Raw genomic sequence first — 18715 nt, 5'->3', positions numbered from 1 at the left:
GCCAGTCAGACGCTAAGTAAGGAAATGGGTTTGCATTAAACCTACAAATAAGTCAACAATCAATAGTTCAGTATTACAGTAAAAATTTGATGTGCCCTTTAAATTGCTTCTAGCATCATGCTTCTAACTCAAGTTCAGCTTCAGAAGCAAAACAAAACAAAGATGATCAAGCAAGAAGCTGAACACAACCTATTTTCACAAGCACAAAGCTTTGGCATTTTGAAACTAAAAGCTGCTCCAGGATTTCACAGAAATCCTTTACAGTGTACCTGTAGGGCAGCAAACCTGAAAAATAATAGGCTGAGCTTTAGACAGTAAATTAAACTGACAGCTCAGCAAGCAGAAAACTATGGCAAAAAAAAGCAAGCACCTGGAGATAAACGGATGAAGCAGGTTTGGTCTTTCTGTAAAACTGAATGCCCCTCAACCACCACCTCCCAACGCTCCGCAAGAGTTCACATCAGGGTTGAGAAAGTACGCTCCAGCCTCTCCCTCAATCAACGTTATTTTACTACTAAGCTTGTGTAAATAAGAGCTATGCCTACCACATCCATTCAAAAGATACTTTTCTCCGGCACTGTGGGCTTTCTACTCTTTATTTTGCTCTAAATGAATGATCAATTATACTTCTATTTTATACTTTCACTAACTTTCCTCCTTCTAATACATCCTGAAAAACTTCCCTCCTTCACTAAAACAGTCTTAGTCTGCAAATGCAATTTAAATCCTAGGCAGCTAAGAGCACAGTATTGGACTCAAATCAACAGACTGGAGCTCTGGTCTGGCATATCTAGCCTCTGTAAGCCTTAGCTTCCTCATCTGTGACATGGGGTTAACAGTAAGTATCCACCTCAGAGGGTTGCTGGGAAGATTAAATGAGCAAGCCTAGGAAGTGCTTAGCACACGTCTGAACATAATAAATGCTCAATAAACCTTGGCTTTGCTTCCCTGATGTTAGCTGGGGTAAGACAAAAGTCAATTTTTTTTTTTTTTTGAGACAGAGTCTTGCTCTGTCCCCCAGACTGGAGTGCAGTGGGGCAATCTCGGCTCACCGCAAGCTCTACCTCCTGGGTTCACACCATTCTCCTGCCTCAGCCTCCCGAGTAGCTGGGACTACAGGCGCCCGCCACCACACCAGGCTAATTTTTTGTATTTTTTAGTAGAGACAGGGTTTCACCGTGTTAGCCAGGATGGTCTCGATCTCCTGACCTTGTGATCCGCCCGCCTTGGCCTCCAAAGTGCTGGGATTACAGGCGTGAGCCACCACACCTGGCCAAAAAAAAAAATTTTTTTTTTTGAGACAGAGTTTTGCTTTTGTCACCCAGGCTGGAGTGCAATGGCGTGATCTTGGTTCACCACAACCTCCGCCTCCCGGGTTCAAGCAATTCTCCTGCCTCAGCCTCCCGAGTAGCTAGGATTACAGGCATGCGCCACCACGCCCAGCTAATTTTGTATTTTTAGTAGAGATAGGGTTTCTCCATGTTGGTCAGGCTGGTCTCAAACTCCCGACCTCAGGTGATCCACCCACCTCAGCCTCCCAAAGTGCTGGGATTACAGGCGTGAGCCACTGCGCCCAGCCAAAAGACAAGAACGTAATGTGTCTCTGGTACTACGTTTCACTGCAACGGTGAGAAACAGGGAAGGAAGAAGGAAGGAGAAAAAAACACAACTATTTAAACTTGTGGTGCTCAAAATATGGTCAAAGGAGCACCGGTCCACAAATGGTTTGCTCCCAGTCTGCAGCAGGTAAGTGCAAAGACTGACAATAAGGATTTAGAGATTTTTACAGCAAACTGAGTAATTTTATAGCTAACAAACCCCATTTTAAAAAGGGCTTGTACTTTGCATGTCTTTTTTTCCTAGTAATTCATTTTTGTTATATTTTATAAAAGTATCTCTCAGTCTGAGACAAAGTGAAGAAAAAAACTGGTTTGAGAAGCACTGATTCAGTAAAAGCACCTTTTGAATGAACAACACCCACCACTATATTCATTCAATGCTAAGACATCTGGGGCAGTTTAGGACCTCATTACAGAATTAAATGATCCTGTAAATGCCCATAAACTTTCAAGGGTCCGCCAGGCCCTGCTCATTTAGAGACGGGTCCTCCTGTTGAGAAAGACTGATGTGCACTGTGAGAGAACCTACTAGAAGAAGAGAGAAAACTCCCAGGGAATATCACACTAGTGTATTTTGGTACCTTGAGCAAATCAAGCATATCATATAACCTTCCATGGCGGTTTCTACCTGTCCCTAAGATAGCAACAGCATTTTAAAATAGACTATTTTTTTAAAAGAAAAGGGAGGAGTGGAGGAAACTCTCCCCCATATCCTTTTGTTCATCCCATTCAAAGAAATAAACCAAATTAGTCAGTAATTTTTAAAAATCAGGAAGTAAATCCATACTCCCACTTACATTCTGCTGACCTAACCCTCCCTCCCTTTTGTTTTATAAATTAAACAAATAGTCTAGTCTTCATTGCAAATATGTCTTATAAGACAAGGGTTCTTTCTGAATAATTTCTTGGCAGCTGTGTCACGCCCAGCCCTGCTCAGCAGATTCTGCTGCAGTGCTTCAAGTGCTGCAGCTTTCTGGAAAGCACAGGCAGGATTTTGCTGATGGCATCTCAGCCTCACAGCCACTCCACAGTGAGAGGCAAGGACTGGCCCTTCTGTCCTCCAGGATAATTAAAGTGGTGCGTGCACCACTGCTGATCTTGTGATCGCTGCAGACCAGCAGCTGTCAGAATCAAGGGCCTTAGCCCCAGCATGGCTGTCAGCAACCTGGGCTTGGGGAACACATTCAGCCTCTCCAAATCTGAAGTGCAAGATGGAAGCTGAGCATCTGTGAAATGGAAAGATGCTTTAAAAGAAAGCGATACACACTGGTTCTTAGAGCACTGCAGCACAAGAAAATTCTAAGTCTAGGTCTTGTCAGTAGGGGATGTTACCCATCTTACCTTCCAGCTTCTTTTCCTGGTCCCTACCAAACAAACAAATGAAAAGAAGTAAAGCCAAGGGTCTCCCCTCTATGTAATCCCCTCTCTCGGTTCCATCGCAGATCATGGATTTTTAGTGAGACACTAACAACCTGGGCCCCAAAGTTTTGTAACTGAGAAGCCTCAGTTTGCCAACTGCCACATCAGGCTGCAGGCCTGCACAGCTTTGGATCGAACATTCCAAAAACAGAAATAAGAGATCACAAGGTGCTGTGGCAAGCAGATCAAAGTGGCACATGGGTAAAGGGCTGCCATCTGAGAACAACAGACTGGTCTACAGTAAAACAATTCAATATTTGACAAGGCTTTAACCACCATTTAAATCACAACCACTCCAGTATCAAATAGTTCAGCAGATAAAAAGACATGCCCATTTCTGGTTCCTGCAACCGAGCAATTTATAGATGCCAGACTGAAGATGTCAATCTATGTTTCTCATCACCAGAGTGCTGGGGCATCACTGGTATCGGCAGGTTAAGAGATAGCTGGTGAAGGAGGGAGGGGACGACTCAACTCCAGTTCAAAGGCACCAGAGCCTGGCCAATATCTGAAGTCTTCTATTAAAATGTTAAATGTTTCAGCCACGGGGCTTGTTCCAAAATACTCTTAGAGAACCATTCCAACTTCTTTCTTCTTTAAGTTGGTAATTGATACTCTCTTGCTCACTACAGGATATAAGAAACCTCCTAGAAGACAAAAAAGCCTGTCATTTCCCGCTCGTTCAGAATGCATTCAGCATCCATTTACTTGCTTCTTCTGAAAGCCTTGCATTCAGGAGTAAGTGTGAATGGATAAATAAAAAGGCTGAAATCTTATATCCCTGGCTCACATAAAAGCAGTTTTTCACATTTTCCCCGACCCATTTTTATTCCAAAGTTACCATTTTTAATTCCATTCACAGAATACTTTAATGTAATTGCATACTTTGCCACCAGACCACAATGCCTACCTTTTCCCTTATCATGGACAGGCAGAAAAATTAAATCATTTCAATTTCTTACCACTGTGATCAGCATTAGGCTACCTAATTATAAACATGAAACAGGATGGCACATTAGCCTGCCTCTGTGAAGACATTATATTTTTTTTTGTACAGGTTTAATGGTTTTTACCAGCTCTAAGATTTATACTGGGTCAGGGTTTAATGACAAGGAACAGCAAATATGTTTATTAAGTAGGTGTGATGTAGACACCACTGTGTTCATATAGGGGACAAAGCTTGGCACCACTTATTGTCCCTCAACCAGAACAGGGCACAGTAAGATGTAATGTCTTTTCTACATGCAATTCAGTCACTACACCCAAATCTTGGCCTAAAATGTACCTGGTGTTCCAGGAAAGGATTTCTCTTCAACTAACAGACTTTGGATCTGGTGATAATCAGATTCATCACTCCTACTGAGCCCAGGAGCATTAACTATAGGTTGTTTTAAGTCCAGGATGGGCAGCTGTCATAAGCTGAGAAACAGCAAGATTCAAATATCCATTAAATCCCTCTAAAAACTCAAAAGAAAGGGTATCATGAACATCCTGTTCATTCTCTTAGGGACAAGAGGAATATAACAAAGGAGATAAATAAATGCAAATGCTTAACTAAAAGCCTTCACACCATTAGATTCCATGGAATAGTCTCTTATATTTTTATATTATGTGAAAATATTTAGACAGCAAAGTCTTATTCCTTCAGGGTCCACAGTCCATCAGTTCAAAATCATCCAATTTGGGCTAGATCACCATTTTGTGCAGAAGAGCCTACTCAGGCATATTAAGAACAGAAACAAGATGGAAGATAGGGATGTTCTGCCTACTTAAACCATTTCTCAGAATCGTTACACAAATTATCAGTAGGCAAACAGATGCAACTCTTAAGGACTTCATCTCTTCCTCGGATTTGCTAAAGCAGCTCTGGTAATAATGCTTTTCCTTGGTAAACATGCTTAGCAGTTTCAGTTTCAGAAACAGATGAAAATGACAACTGCATTTCTTTCAGCCTTAGAATTAAGATACTGTTTACCCATTCAGACTGTACTTTCCCTTGACTGATTCAAGCTAAGAAATTTTACTGCACTTTTCCTTCAATATTAATATTTTGCCAGTAATTCCTGAAGAGCTATTCGCATATTAATCATTCTAGGCAAATCTGACCCTCTTTCCAACAAACTGCCACAGGATTTCCGCAACCTGTTCCCAACCAACTACTTGCCAGTACTACAAACATCCAATTAGTGAGCAACTACTTTTCCTCTTTGCTGTTATATATAGCTGCATTTAAGGAGCAGAAGATAGAAAACTAAAAGATAGACTATAAAAATAATTCAGGTGATAAGGGGTTACAAGACTATTGATTCATTTTTTAATTTTATTCATTTTTTGAGACAGAGTCTCTCTCTGTCAGCCAGGCTGGAGTGCTGTGGTGCCATCTCAGCTCACCACAACCTCCACCTCTCGGGTTCAAGTGATTCTCCTGTCTTAACCTCCTGAGTAGCTGGGATTACAGGCGTGCACCAACATGTCCGGCTAATTTTTGTATTTTTAGTAGAGACGGGTTTCACCATGTTGACTAGGCTGATCTTGAACTTCTAACCTCAAGTGATCTGCCCGCCTCGGCCTCCCAAAGTGCTGGGATTACAGGTGTGGGCCACCGCATCCGGCCATTGATTCATTTTTAAACTTACCAAAATCATTTAGTTTCTTCTTTCTATTTAAAAGACAAACTAAAAGTGGTTTGAGCATATTCTACATTTCCAAGGACAGGAAAAGGAAGAAAATAATGAATATGTTATAGATACAGTGTGGCAAGCAAAACAAGTTTTTAACAGTCAATTATTATCACACCTTTAGTCTTACATATGATATATAGTTCAGTTTCCCTAACACTAATTTTTTTATGGTTATTTTATCCTGTTTATCACTTCTTTTCCTCTTTACTTATATAGGACAGATTTCCATCTGGAGATTTAGGCAGATTATGAAGACCTTCAGAACAGAGTCTTTTTTTTTTCTTTTGGGTAGAAGGGGCTGAATTTTCACTTAACCATGATTAGAATTGGCGGCTAAGTCAATTCCAACAACATAATCTAGATTTCTATTTACTTTGTAAGGGAACATTCAGGAAGTTTTGTCTTTTCCTCAGCAGGGAAGCCAATATACTGTATTTGGAGGCTGTGGGGAAAACAGGTCTATTAAGACTGTGGAAGAGGTGATATCTAAGGAAAGCCTTAGGGTCTTAGACTGAAATTAGGGCTTGGATGTTCCAGGACAAGTGAAGGCAGTGAGCAAAGATATGTTATAAAAGAAAAAAGAATGGGTTGGGCATTTACATACACACACACACACACCCACACATACACACACACACCCACCCACACACACACACACAAGCAGTTCCTTCTACCTTGGAAAAATGCCAAAATTTAATCCTATCTATAGTTACCTTAAAAACTACATATTTAATACTTTAAGAAGCAGAGAGTTTCTAGTTGAAAAATGTCTCTAGATAAATCTCTCAAACACATTACAGACTGTTAACATGTTTAGAAAGAGTAACTACTATTAAATTCTGAAATCAGATATAAGTAGTCACCCTCATTTCCCAAAGGCTCAAAGCAGAATGAGGAGGATGACATGAGAAACTTAGTTGGGACCTGCAGTACTGAACGACTAGCAATGGATATCTTATCCCAATACTGCCCATGGATATGAAATGGAGTTAGATTTGAAGATGTTTCATTCTTTACAGTAACAGTTTTAAAATTTCTGGCACTATAAGTACAGTGGGTTGAAGTGTGTGTCCCACAAAAAGATATGTCCAAGTCCCAACCTCTGGTCCTTGTAAATATGACCTTACTTGGAAATAGGGCCTTTGCAAATGTAATTAAGGATCTCAAGAAGAGATTATCCTGGATTTAGGGTGGGTCCTAAATCCAATGACTGGTGTCCTTATATGACATGAAAGGTAGACCTGACACACACAAGGAAGAACCCCGTGAAGATGGAGGAAGAGACCGAAGATACCCTGCCCTAAGCCAAGGAATGTCAGGAGCCAATCAGAAGCCAGAAGAGGAAGGAGTCTCCCCTAGAGCCTATGGAGAGTGTGTGGTGCTGCCAATACCTTGATTTCAAAGTTCAGGATTCCAGAACTGTGACAGAATAAACTTCTGTTGTTTTAGGCCACCAAGTTTGCAGTACTTTGTTACAGCATCCCTAGGAATTTAATATAGTAAGTTTGGCAATTATTTATTATTGCTCTGCAATGGTCTAATGCCATTAAAAATATTTTTAATTATTAGGGATACATCATATTTATTCATGTTGTACATGTGATACTTTGATACAAGCATACAATGTGTAATGATCAAATCGGCAATCAGGATACCCTTCGCCTCAAGTGTTTATCATTTATTTGTGTTAGAAACATTCCAATTCCACTCTTAGTTATTTTGAAAGTCTAATGCCATTTAAAAATATTATAGCCTAATGCTGGGAAAATGCAGCTCCCATTTTCATGGCCAATTCAGGCTATTTCTGCACAGACTTCTTGAAATATACATGCAATCTAGTGAAAAAACCCAGAATATAACTGGACTACGTAAATTTGCACTTTATTATTATATAATACACGTATCCATGACACATTAGGTCTGTTCAGACCACAGTAAAGATGTGCAATATGCCATCAATATTTTTTTCTCCAAAGACAGAAGTGAGCAAGTGGATCTCTGTGAGAGGACGCATACTCCCAAGCACCACAAAGTCATTTAGAACAGATCCAGTACAGCTGTTTTAGTAGTATGTCCTGTTATCACTCTTCACCTCTATTACACAAATGTAGGCCTTCTTTATGACCATTTCCAAAAAATAAAATCAATAAACATTAAAAAAATTCTACTAGTATCATCCCTACATATATTTAAGTGGCGTTTCTTTAATATACTACCTTTGGTGGTCACAGCAATTTTTTTAAAATGCATTCACAATGCACGCAAACATTATTGATTATGACAAACAACAAAATGGTAACAACAAAAACCCATATTAATTTCAAGCTCCATTAGAAGCAGAAGGAAATATAATCAATGTTTACCAAATAGAAAAAGACAATGCATAAGTGGCAAAATGCCTTTAAGCTTATAAGTAATGCAAACGATGGATAGTACAAAGTCCTGGACGGTACTTGTCAAAGAATGCATCAGCATTTCCTTTTTATAACAGTACTTTAAGTGGCTTATAAACTGACATAATAATTTCCCTCTGACTGATAGCACATGGAATTAGGGTGCATTCTCACCTCAAAAAAAAAATGCATTGATTGAAAAACAAAAGTTCAATTACAAAAGTCCACCACATTTATGGTATGTGAATTATATCTCATTTAAGCAATTAAAATAAATGAAAAAAAAAGTCCATCGAATAGTATATCTGGCTTTTCTAAAGACAAATCACTGAAAATGTCCAAGTTTACTCTTCTTGGATAACCAACACATTATGAGAAGAATTAAGAGGAGGATCACTCCATGCCAGGAATGCAAGCTGGCTTGGCTCTTATGCTTGGTTACTAAACAAGAAGTCAGGGAAGGATACGTGTATAGGAAGTTTATTAAGCACAGGTCAACTGAGCCACACAATACAACTTAAAACCTCCAATCCCTATTGATAAAACGGAGTTCCCCCAGATCAGGCCAAAGCTAAATTTTCTCCTTTAAGCCTTTGCTGGCAAGAAGATGAAGTGAACAGAGAACTTATTTCAAAACTAGTAAGCCTTAAACTTTTACTTCAGGTCTAGATGATCAATTCCTAATTAATCAAAAGTTATCTTGGACTGACCATTTTGCATTTTTTGAAGCTATTCTGGAACAGCACAACGAAGAGGTGAGTTGTTTCTGGGTTTTTTTTTGGTTTTTTTTGAGACAGGGTCTTGCTCTGTCACCCAGACTTGAGTACAGTGGTGCACACAGGAGGGACTCACTGCAGCCTCAACCTCAACCTCCTGGACTCAAGTGATGTTCCTGCCTCAGCCTCCCCCTGTAGCTGGGACTACAGGAGTGCGCCACCATGCCCCGATCATTTTTTATCTTTGTAGAGACAGAGTAACGTAGTTTGAATACATGTCTCTGCCAAATCTCATGTTGAACTGTAATCCCCAGTGTTGGGGGTGGGGCCTGGTGGGAGGTGACTGGATCATGAGAGCAGATTTCTCATGAATGGTTTAATACCATCCTCTTGGTGCTGTCCTCATGACAGTGAGTTCTTATGAGATCTGGTGTTTGAAAGTGGCACCCGCCCCTGCCCCCAACTCTTTCTAGCTCCTGCTTTCACCATGTGACGTGCAAGCTCCCACTTTGCCTTTTGCCATGAGTAAAAGCTCCCTGAGGCCTCCCCAGAAGCAGATGCTGGTTTTATGCTTCTTGTACAGCCTGCAGAACCGTGAGCCAATTGAACCTCTTTCTTTATATATTACCCAGTCTCAGGTATGTCTTTATAGCAATGCAAGGATGGCCAAATACAGGGGGTATCACTATGTCGTCCAGGCTGGTCTTGAACTCCTAGGCTCAAGCAATCCTCCCACGTCAGCCTCCTACCATGCTGGGATTAGAGGCATGAGCGACTGTGCCTGGCCAAGAGGTGAACTTTTGAAATGAAGCATCCTTAACCTCAAAGTTCAGAGACTTCCCAGTGGTACAGGACCAAAGCTCTGATGCGCTCATTCCAAATTAAGAAATTCTCTTTGATGTAACTAAGCATATATTGTTAGAAAACCATCTAATGGCAGTGTTGAAGGAGAGTATTCTTCCATTAAGTAGAAGGTTAGATGAAATGATCATTATGACTCAATACATTTACAAACCTGTCAATACCTTAAGGTAAAAAAATGGAGTTTCACATCACTCGAAATGCATGAAGTGCATCACAAAATGCTGTTGAGTATTCCAAATACCTACTCCAAGAATATCAAAGAAAATGTAAAAAACACTTTGTTTTTCAAACAAACAATTTCTCTGGTATTTTCAACATTAAAAACGAACAAAAACCCTTTCAGCAGGTGCCATTTCTTTCCACATTATTAGGGATGCTCCCAAAATACATGGTGATTATTCATCCCTGTTACATGTATTTGTTAACAGAGAGCCTCAAGCAGTTGTACGGGGGAGGGGGGCTAAAACTTAAAAAAAAAAGTTTAAAAAGTATACATGCCATTTCAAGATTACATGGAAATGAGAAGGCAACTATAAGTTGACATGCAAAAATGATTTAGCATATAAAACTGGAAAAACTGGATTCTCATACTTTGGGAACATAGCAGCAATAGGAAAAATATCTATAGTTCTTCAACTCTCAACTCAAAGTAGTTTTAGGTTTCTGAATTCAAATAAATGCAGGAGAAATGTGGCCATTAGATGGACTAAAATGGTTCTTAGGAAGGTTACTAGGATAGAGAGTATTAATTCAAATTGAGCCCAAATAATATTGCCCATTTCTACTAGAATTTGCCTCTGCAGAAGGCATCCTCTCATTTTCAGGTAAATCAATGATAAAAAAATAAAATGGTGCCCCACTGTCCCTTCACTCTAATGCAAATGCAGTGTTCCAATTCCTCAAAAACTAAACAGACCGTGAGTTTTTTCCTTAACAATTTTACGTCAGTTTCTGATTAGATTAAAACAGCTATCAATTGCTTGTGGCATGTTTGGTTAAATGAGACTGGAGTGCTCTATTAGACTATTTCCTGGTGCCACTAATGCAGCCAAACACTTCTTGGAAATCATTGAGTAGGTTTCAGTAAATAGTACTCTAAGTTTTCCCCAGCTCTTTGCCAACCAATACAAGCAAGATGTAAAAAAGAAATGTGGAAGACGAATAGTAAAATTATTTGAGATCTAGCAAAGAAAGCGAAAGAAACTTGCAACTAATGTCTCTGAGCCTTGGATTAAGCCCAAGGAAGGAAGAGAAATCTGTTCTCCTAATTATAATAATCTAAAAAGTGCAGGTTGGAATTGCTTTCTTAAATTCAGCCACACAGAGAGCTCTGAAAATAACCCAATGTTTTCCACTATACCTCCAAAGCTGAATCTACTGTTCTCTTAATATCTGAGGAAGAAGAAAGTTAACAAAGAAAACTGAAATTCCTCAATCTGCTAGTTAATAAAGGGCCAGGGTCTTCAGCCTGGGTTATATGCTCTGGGTTCCACCTGCACTTGGCAGCCCTTACCTGAATGTCAGTGTCCTTCACAGGCTCAAGAGGCTCAAAGGTGGTGGCTGCACTCAGACTCTCCAATCGCTGGGAGATGTGGGATATGTCAAGTCCCCGAGACCCGAGGAGAACTGACCTATGTGAGGATATAGAATAGGGAGATATAAGTAAGGGGAAAATTAGGATTAGGATTAGGACATCTAATATGCTTCATCAAATACTAGAGAGCATTTTTAATTCAAAACTTCCTATATACTGTCCAGACACTTTTACATAGTTGTTTTATATCTTTCCATAGACATCACCTGGAATAAGAGCCATAACACTGTACTTTGTAGTAACAGATTCAAGTTCTAATCATGCCTGAATTTGAGAGCCTTGTCTAGAATAAAACGATACTACTACCATAGACTAGACTGCTCCAAACATGTCATAGTAAAGAAACCCATGAGGTGCATGCTATCATTCATCCCCATTTTATGGATGAGAGAACTAAGGTACAAAGAGGTTAGCCAGCTTGCCCAAAGTCACAGAGTCAGGAAGTGGCAGAGGCAGGACATCTAGTTCTGTGGCACAAGCTCCCCCCAACTTTTTTTTTTTTCTGAGACAGAGTGTCACTCTGTCGTCCAGACTGGATTGCAGTGGCATGATCTCGGCTCACTGTAACCTCCACCTCCCAGGTTCATGTGATTCTCCTGCCTCAGCCTCCCGGGTTGTACAGCACAACTCTTAACCACCATCCTACACTTACAGCCTCCGTAGATGAATACAGTGAACTACAATATTGTAGAAGTTTCAGGAGTAACCTAGTATAAACGTCATTCATGAGCTAAGGAAACTAAAGGTTCAAGGTGATCAATGATTTGCCCAGGGGCAATCAAACCAGAATTCAAGGCCAGTTCTCCATGGCTTCCCTTCAAAAGCCAAACGCCATGTTCAGCACATCTGCAGGTTCCCTCTCTGCTGCCCAGTCTAATAATATAGGAGGCTGTTATCTGATCAGTAAATGCTTTTGAAGAGAAATGGGAATAATATAGCCATCTTTATTTCTACTCACCTGGGGCAATGTAACAATGCAAGGGTAGTTTTTTAAAGAAAAGGTTGCACTAATATCTAGAACACTCTCTGTAAAAAAGAAACTTAGGGGAACTCGTAGTGTAGTGGTGGGGTGGGGTCGGGTCAGGTCGGGTCGGGTCTAGTCTGGTCTAGTCTATTTTATTTTATTTTCAGACAGGGTCTTGCTCTGTTGCCCAGGCTGGTCTCAAACTCCTGGCCAAGCGATCCTCCTGCCTCAGCTTCCAAAAGTGCCGGGATTACAGGCGTGAACCACCACATCCAGCCCATTAATTTGTAGACTGTTCTTGGATTATAAATTAGTACCAAAAACTCTCACTGATAACATTTGTGTTCACTTTGAGTAACTTAGTAGTCAGAGAATTTGGCAGCACATGTAACCCTAACACCTACAGGTATAACACCTAAAAGTTTCAATCCTGAACTAACAGACTTACTGGAGAAGAGAAAGGATTTCGCATATGTAGTTCTAATCCAATAAATACTACAGCAACAGATTACATTTACCCAGAGGTTCCTTCCTATAGATTTTTGTCTCTTCCACGTCAACTATGATGCCATCCCCGGGACTTTCCCTCCAGGTTGCCGTATCTTGCCTCTCTCCTCTAATAATCCTAAAAAGTTAACTCTCTAAAAGAGTGGGTCTCCCTTCTCAAAAGAAGACATTTATGCAGCCAACAAACATATGAAAAAAAGCTCAATATCACTGATTATTAGAGAAATGCAAATCAAAACCACAATGAGATACCATCTCATGCCAATCAGAATGGCGATTATTAAAAAGTCAGGAAATAATAGATGTTGGCAAGGCTGTGAAGAAACAGGAATGCTTTTACACTGTTGGTGGGAGTGTAAATTAATTCAACCACTGTGGAAGACAGTGTAGCAATTCCTCAGGGATCTAGAAACAGAAATACCATTGACCCAGCAATCCCATTACTGAGTATATAACCAAAGGATTATAAATCATTCTACTATAAAGACACATGCACATGTATGTTTACTGCAGCACTATTTACAATAGCAAAGACTTGGAACCAACCCAAATGCCCATCAATGATAGACTGGTTAAAGAAAATGTAGCACATATACACCATGGAATACCACGCAGCCATCAAAAAGAATGAGTTCATGTCCTTTGCAGGGAGCTGGATGAAGCTGGAAGCTATCATTCTCAGCAAACTAACACAGGAACACAAAACCAAACACTGCATGTTCTCACTCATAAGTGCGAGTTGAACAGAGAACACATGGACACGGGGAGGGGAACAACACACATAGGAGCCTGTCGGGGGGGGGGGGGGCAAGGAGAGAGAGAGCATTAGGACAAATACCTAACGCATGCAGGCCTTAAAACCTAGATGACAGGTTGATAAGTGTGGCAAACCACCATGGCACATGTATATCTATGTAACAAACCCGGACATTCTGCACATGTATCCCGGAACTTAAAGTAAAATATTTTAAAATTAAAAAAAAAAGAAGAGTGGGTCTCAACCCTGGCTGCACATTAGAATCACGTAGCTTCAGGAGTAACCTAGTCCAAACTTTCCTCCCAACGACTGTGATTAGTTGTGATTAATATTGGACTCAAACTCCTGGGCTCTAGAGATCCTCCTGTCTCAGCCTCCCAAGTAGCAGGAACTAAGGATGCTTGCCACTGCACCCAGCTTTACAATTTATCATTTAAAGTATACAATTTGTTTATTTATTTACTTATTTATTTTGAGACAGTCTTGCTCTGTTGCCCAGGAAGGAGTACAGTGGTGCAATCTCAGCTCTCTGCAACCTCCAGCTCCCAGGTTCAAGCAATTCTTGTGCCTCAGCCTCTCTAGTAGCTGGGACTACAGATGCACACCAGCACACTCAGCTAATTTTTGTATTTTCACTAGAGACAGGGTTTCTCCATGTTGGCCAAGCTGGGGTTGAACTCCAGGCTCAAATGATCCACCCACCTTAGCCTCCCAAAGTGCTGGGATTACAGGCGTGAGCGACCATGCCTGGCCTACAATTCAGTGATTTTTATGTATTCATAAAATTGTACAATCATCACTACAATCAATTTTAGAATATTTTCATCACCCCAAAAAGCAACCCCTGACCAATAGGTGGTGATTCCCCATTTCCCCCCAAACCTCCCCCATCCCCTGGCAACTACTAATCTACTTTCTGTCTCTATAAATTTGCCTATTCTGGACATTGCTCATAAATGCAATCACACAATATACAGTCTTTCTAACTGCCTTCTTTCATTTAACATAATGCTTTCAAGGTTCATTCATGTTGAAACATGTATTAGTACTTCACTCCTTTTTATTGCCAAACAGTATTCCACTGCATGGACATACCACATTTTATGTATCCATTCATCAGTGGATGGGCATTTGGATTATTTCCACTTTTGGCTATTATTTTTCCTTCACAAGTTTTTGTGTGAGTATACATTTCCATTTCTCTTAGGTATATACCTATGAGTGGAATTGCTGGGTCATATAACCCTATGCTTAATCTTTTGAGGAAATGCCAGACTGTTTTCCAAAGCAACTATACCATTTTACATTCCCACCAGCAAGGTATAAAGATTCCAATTTTTCCCACATCCTCGCCAACACTTGTTACTATCTTTTTGATTACAGCCATTGTAGTGGCCCACTTGTTTAAAGCTATTATAGAAAAAGATTAAAAACACAAAATTTTGGGAGCCTCCGAACAGCTACCAGAGAATGTAGAGAAATGTCTGGATATCCAGGCAGAAGTCGGCTACAGGGGCAGAGCCCTCATGGAGAATCTACTAAGCAGTGTGGAGGGGAAATGTGGGGTTGCAGACCCCACAAAGAGTCCCCACTGGGGCACTGCCTAGTGGAGTTGTGAGAAAAAAGCCACCATCCTCCAGAACTCAGAATGGTAGACCCACTGATGGTTTGCACCATGTGCCTAGAAAAGCCACAGGCACTCAACACTAGCCCATGAAAGCAGCCAAGAGGGCTGTACCCTGCAGAGCCAAAGCATGGGGTCTGTAGCCCCTTTGTTTTGGCCAATTTCTCCCTTTTGGAATGGGAACATTTGCCCAATGCCTGTACCCCCATTGTATCTTGGAGGTAACTAACTTGTTTTTGGTCTTACAGGCTCATAGGCAAAGAGACGTGCCTTGTCCCAGATAAGACTTTGGACTTGGACTTTTGAGTTAATGCTAGAATGAGTTAAGACATTGGGGGTCTGTTTGGAAGCCATGACTGTGCTTTGAAATGTGACAAGGACATGAGATTTGGGAGGGGCTAGGTGTGGAATGATATGGTTTGGCTCTGTGTCCCCACCCAAATCTCATGTCGAACTGTAATCCTCAACATTGGAGGGGGCACCCAGTGGGAGATGACTGGACCATAGGGGCAAGACTTCCCCTTTGCTGTTCTCATGACCGTGAGTTCCCATAAGATTTGGTTGTTTAAGAGTACGTAGCACTTCCCCCTTCACCCTCTATCCTGCTCCATCATGTGAAGATGTGCCTGTCTTCCCTTCACCTTCTGCCATGATTGTAAGTTTCCTAAGACCTCCCCATCCACGCTTCCTGTACGCCCTGTGAAAATGTGAATCAATTAAACCTCTTTTCTTCATTAAAAAAAAAAAAATTAAAATAGTAAACCTCCTCATACCCATCACCCAGCCCCAACAATTTGCATGTCGTAGCCAACCCTGTTTCATCTACATCCCTACCTATTTTTCTCTATCAACAAATATGCTTGTTATAGCCAAGATATTGCCTAATTTTTTCACAACTTTTAAAGTTGTGTTTGTTTAAATGAAATCCAAATAAAGTCTCTACTTGTGGATGATTAATATGCCTCCTAAATCTCTTTTCATCAACAGGTTGTCCCTCTCATTTTTTTCTTATAATCTTTGTTGAAGATTCTGGATTATTTATCTTGTAAAGCAGTGTTACTCAAGCTTTAAATGCACATGTGATGACAAAAGTACAGAGCAGAAAAAAAAGTGCATATGAATCACCTGGAAAGCTTGTTAAAAATGTAGATTCTGATTTAATAGGTTTGGGATGGAGCCTGAGAGTCTCCATTACTAAAAAGCTCATGGTTGATGCTGATGCTGTTGATCCATTGACTACACTCAAAGTAGCAAGGCTATAGTTCCCCACAGAAAATGTTTTACTGACAGAATCCCCATGATATCATTTAACATGCTCCTTTATCCTCTGTATTTCCTGCAAATTCAAAGTTCCAAGGGTTTGATTAGATTGAGGTGCCACTATTTTTATGGCTAGATTACTATATACTTTTCATCAAGAGGTATTTAATATCTGGTTATCTCTATCTGAAATATTTGCAGTCTTGATGATGATTGCTTAGACCCATTTACTCCTCAGTAGTTGCAAAATGGTGGTATCCTAATTCCATCTTCATTAGCTGGAATACTTCCATTCCAAGAAACTCTAAAATCAACTATGTAATTACCCTGAATAATGAGTTGGTTCTCTAGTATTCTCCAAAGGCGATCAATGAGTTTTGTTTTAGTACATAAACTCATAAATTTTAAACATATTTGATATGTTTCAATCCAATGCAGTTATTATCCTAATTGATGATCAAATAATCTCATCTTTGGCCAGTAGAAGCCTCTTCAACTTGGTTTCTGGGTCCTTCTGACATGTGACTGTCCTAGCATCATTTGTTGAAAAGACTGTTCTTTTCACAATGAATGGTCTAGGTACCCTTGTTGAAAATCAGCTGATCACAGACACATGGGTTTATTTATCTGGATTAATAATTCCATTCCATCAATCTACATGTCTATCCTTATGCCAGTACCATAGTCTTAATTACTGTGACTCTGTAGTAATTTCTGAAATTGCAAGTGTGATTCTTCCAACTTTCTTCTGCTTTTTAAAGATTGTTTTGGCTATTCTAAGTCTCTTGTATCTCTATATGGATTTTAGAATCAGCTTGTCACTTTCGGCAAAAAATCCCAGCTGGGATTTTGATAGAGACTGTGTTGAATCTGCAGACCAATTTAGGGAGTATTAGTATCTTACTATTAAGTCTTCTGATCCATGAACATGGAATGTCTTTCACCTGCTTTCTTATACAAATGATAGAGTACTAAATACTTTTCTCTACCCTGCATTTTTTACCTAATAATATGTCCTGGAATCACTCCATGTTACTGTATATTCTCATTCCTTTGTACTACTGAAGAGTACTCTACTACATAGACATACTACATTATTCCACTAGTCACCTACTGATGGACATTTGTTTGTTTTCAATTTTTGCTATTACAAATAATGCTGTAATGAATATCCCTGTGCACAGGGTTTTCTTGTGTGTGTTTTTTACCAGTATATCCTTGGGACAAAACCCTAGAAGTGGAATTGCTGGGTCAATTTTGCTAGCTATGTCTAAATTTTGTCCCATGGTGCTGTACTCTACCAGAGACACATAAGAATGTATCCAGTGCCAAAATAATTTTAATATATACCAGGATTTTGAGAACCTCAGAATTTAAAAATTATCTACTAGAATTGTCAGAAAAGAAAGGTCATTTAAGTAGTTGACACCTGTAGAAACTGTTCAGTGTGTGGCTTATGCAGTGTACGGCTTATGCAATGCATATGCAGGGAGAGAAAGGACTGACGAAGGAGACAGGGAATCTAGGGTAGGGACGGCTTTATAAATAAAGCTTGTACTAGAAACTTCAGTCTGTAAGGGTGCAAAAATCCTTGGAAGGTTCCCTGCCTTCTACCTGCTTCAATTCCCAAAAGCCAGGCAGTCCCACATGAGCAGAAAGTCATGGAAGCTGGAGTCTCCTTCCAGTTCCAGGAGAGTAGAAGGACAAGGACTGTTCCCAGCATACATGGGAAGCATATAAAATGTCAGGAGGCCTGGGTTCAAGTCTCACCTGTCACTCACTGAAAATATTGGATACATAATCTTTCTAAGCCTCAGTTTCTTCCTCTGTTGAATGTGGGGGAAAATGCCTATCCTACCTCTCAGGCACTGCAGACCAGTCAGGAAAGTGCCTGTGACAATCCTTCAGAAACTGAAAAGTACCATACAAATATGAGGAATTCCTACTAAGTTGGATTTGAAATTCTGGCTTGGCCACTCACTATTTGACTTTCCTCAAGTTTAAAACACAGATAACACTTTCACAGGGTTATTTTAAAAAGAAATTATATAATGCGTGTAAAGTGTGTGGCACAGCGCCTAACAAACAGTAAGAGCTTAAACAACAGCTTATAGTATTATCACAAGGAGAGTTATAATCTGCTGTAAAACTTTGGGGTAATAAATGTTTACATATGCTTTGCATGAACATGGAGAAGTATGTGAAAAAATAAGCAAATTAATAACATTGGTTACGTTGGATGACAAAGTTAGGGAGAAAGAGTGACTACTGGCTTTTTCTTTATACACATCTAGCTTGCCTGATTTCAGTTTGAATG

At 40.1% G+C, this 18715-nt stretch overlaps 1 protein-coding gene across 2 annotated transcripts in view; it reads right to left on the bottom strand.

Moving 5' to 3' along the window:
- The window catches only part of NUP93 (nucleoporin 93), a 120158-nt gene that overhangs the window by 80426 nt on the left and 21017 nt on the right, over window positions 1-18715 (bottom strand). For both annotated transcript variants that reach the window (NM_014669.5, XM_005256263.4), the window contains exon 3: window positions 11206-11323. In NM_014669.5, coding sequence (NP_055484.3) covers window positions 11206-11323 — 118 coding nt within the window. The remainder of the gene's footprint in view (window positions 1-11205; window positions 11324-18715) is intronic.

The sequence above is a fragment of the Homo sapiens genome, chromosome 16 (genome assembly GCF_000001405.40).
Source record: "Homo sapiens chromosome 16, GRCh38.p14 Primary Assembly".
NCBI lineage: Eukaryota > Metazoa > Chordata > Mammalia > Primates > Hominidae > Homo > Homo sapiens.
This window is presented reverse-complemented; position numbering and strand designations above follow the sequence as displayed.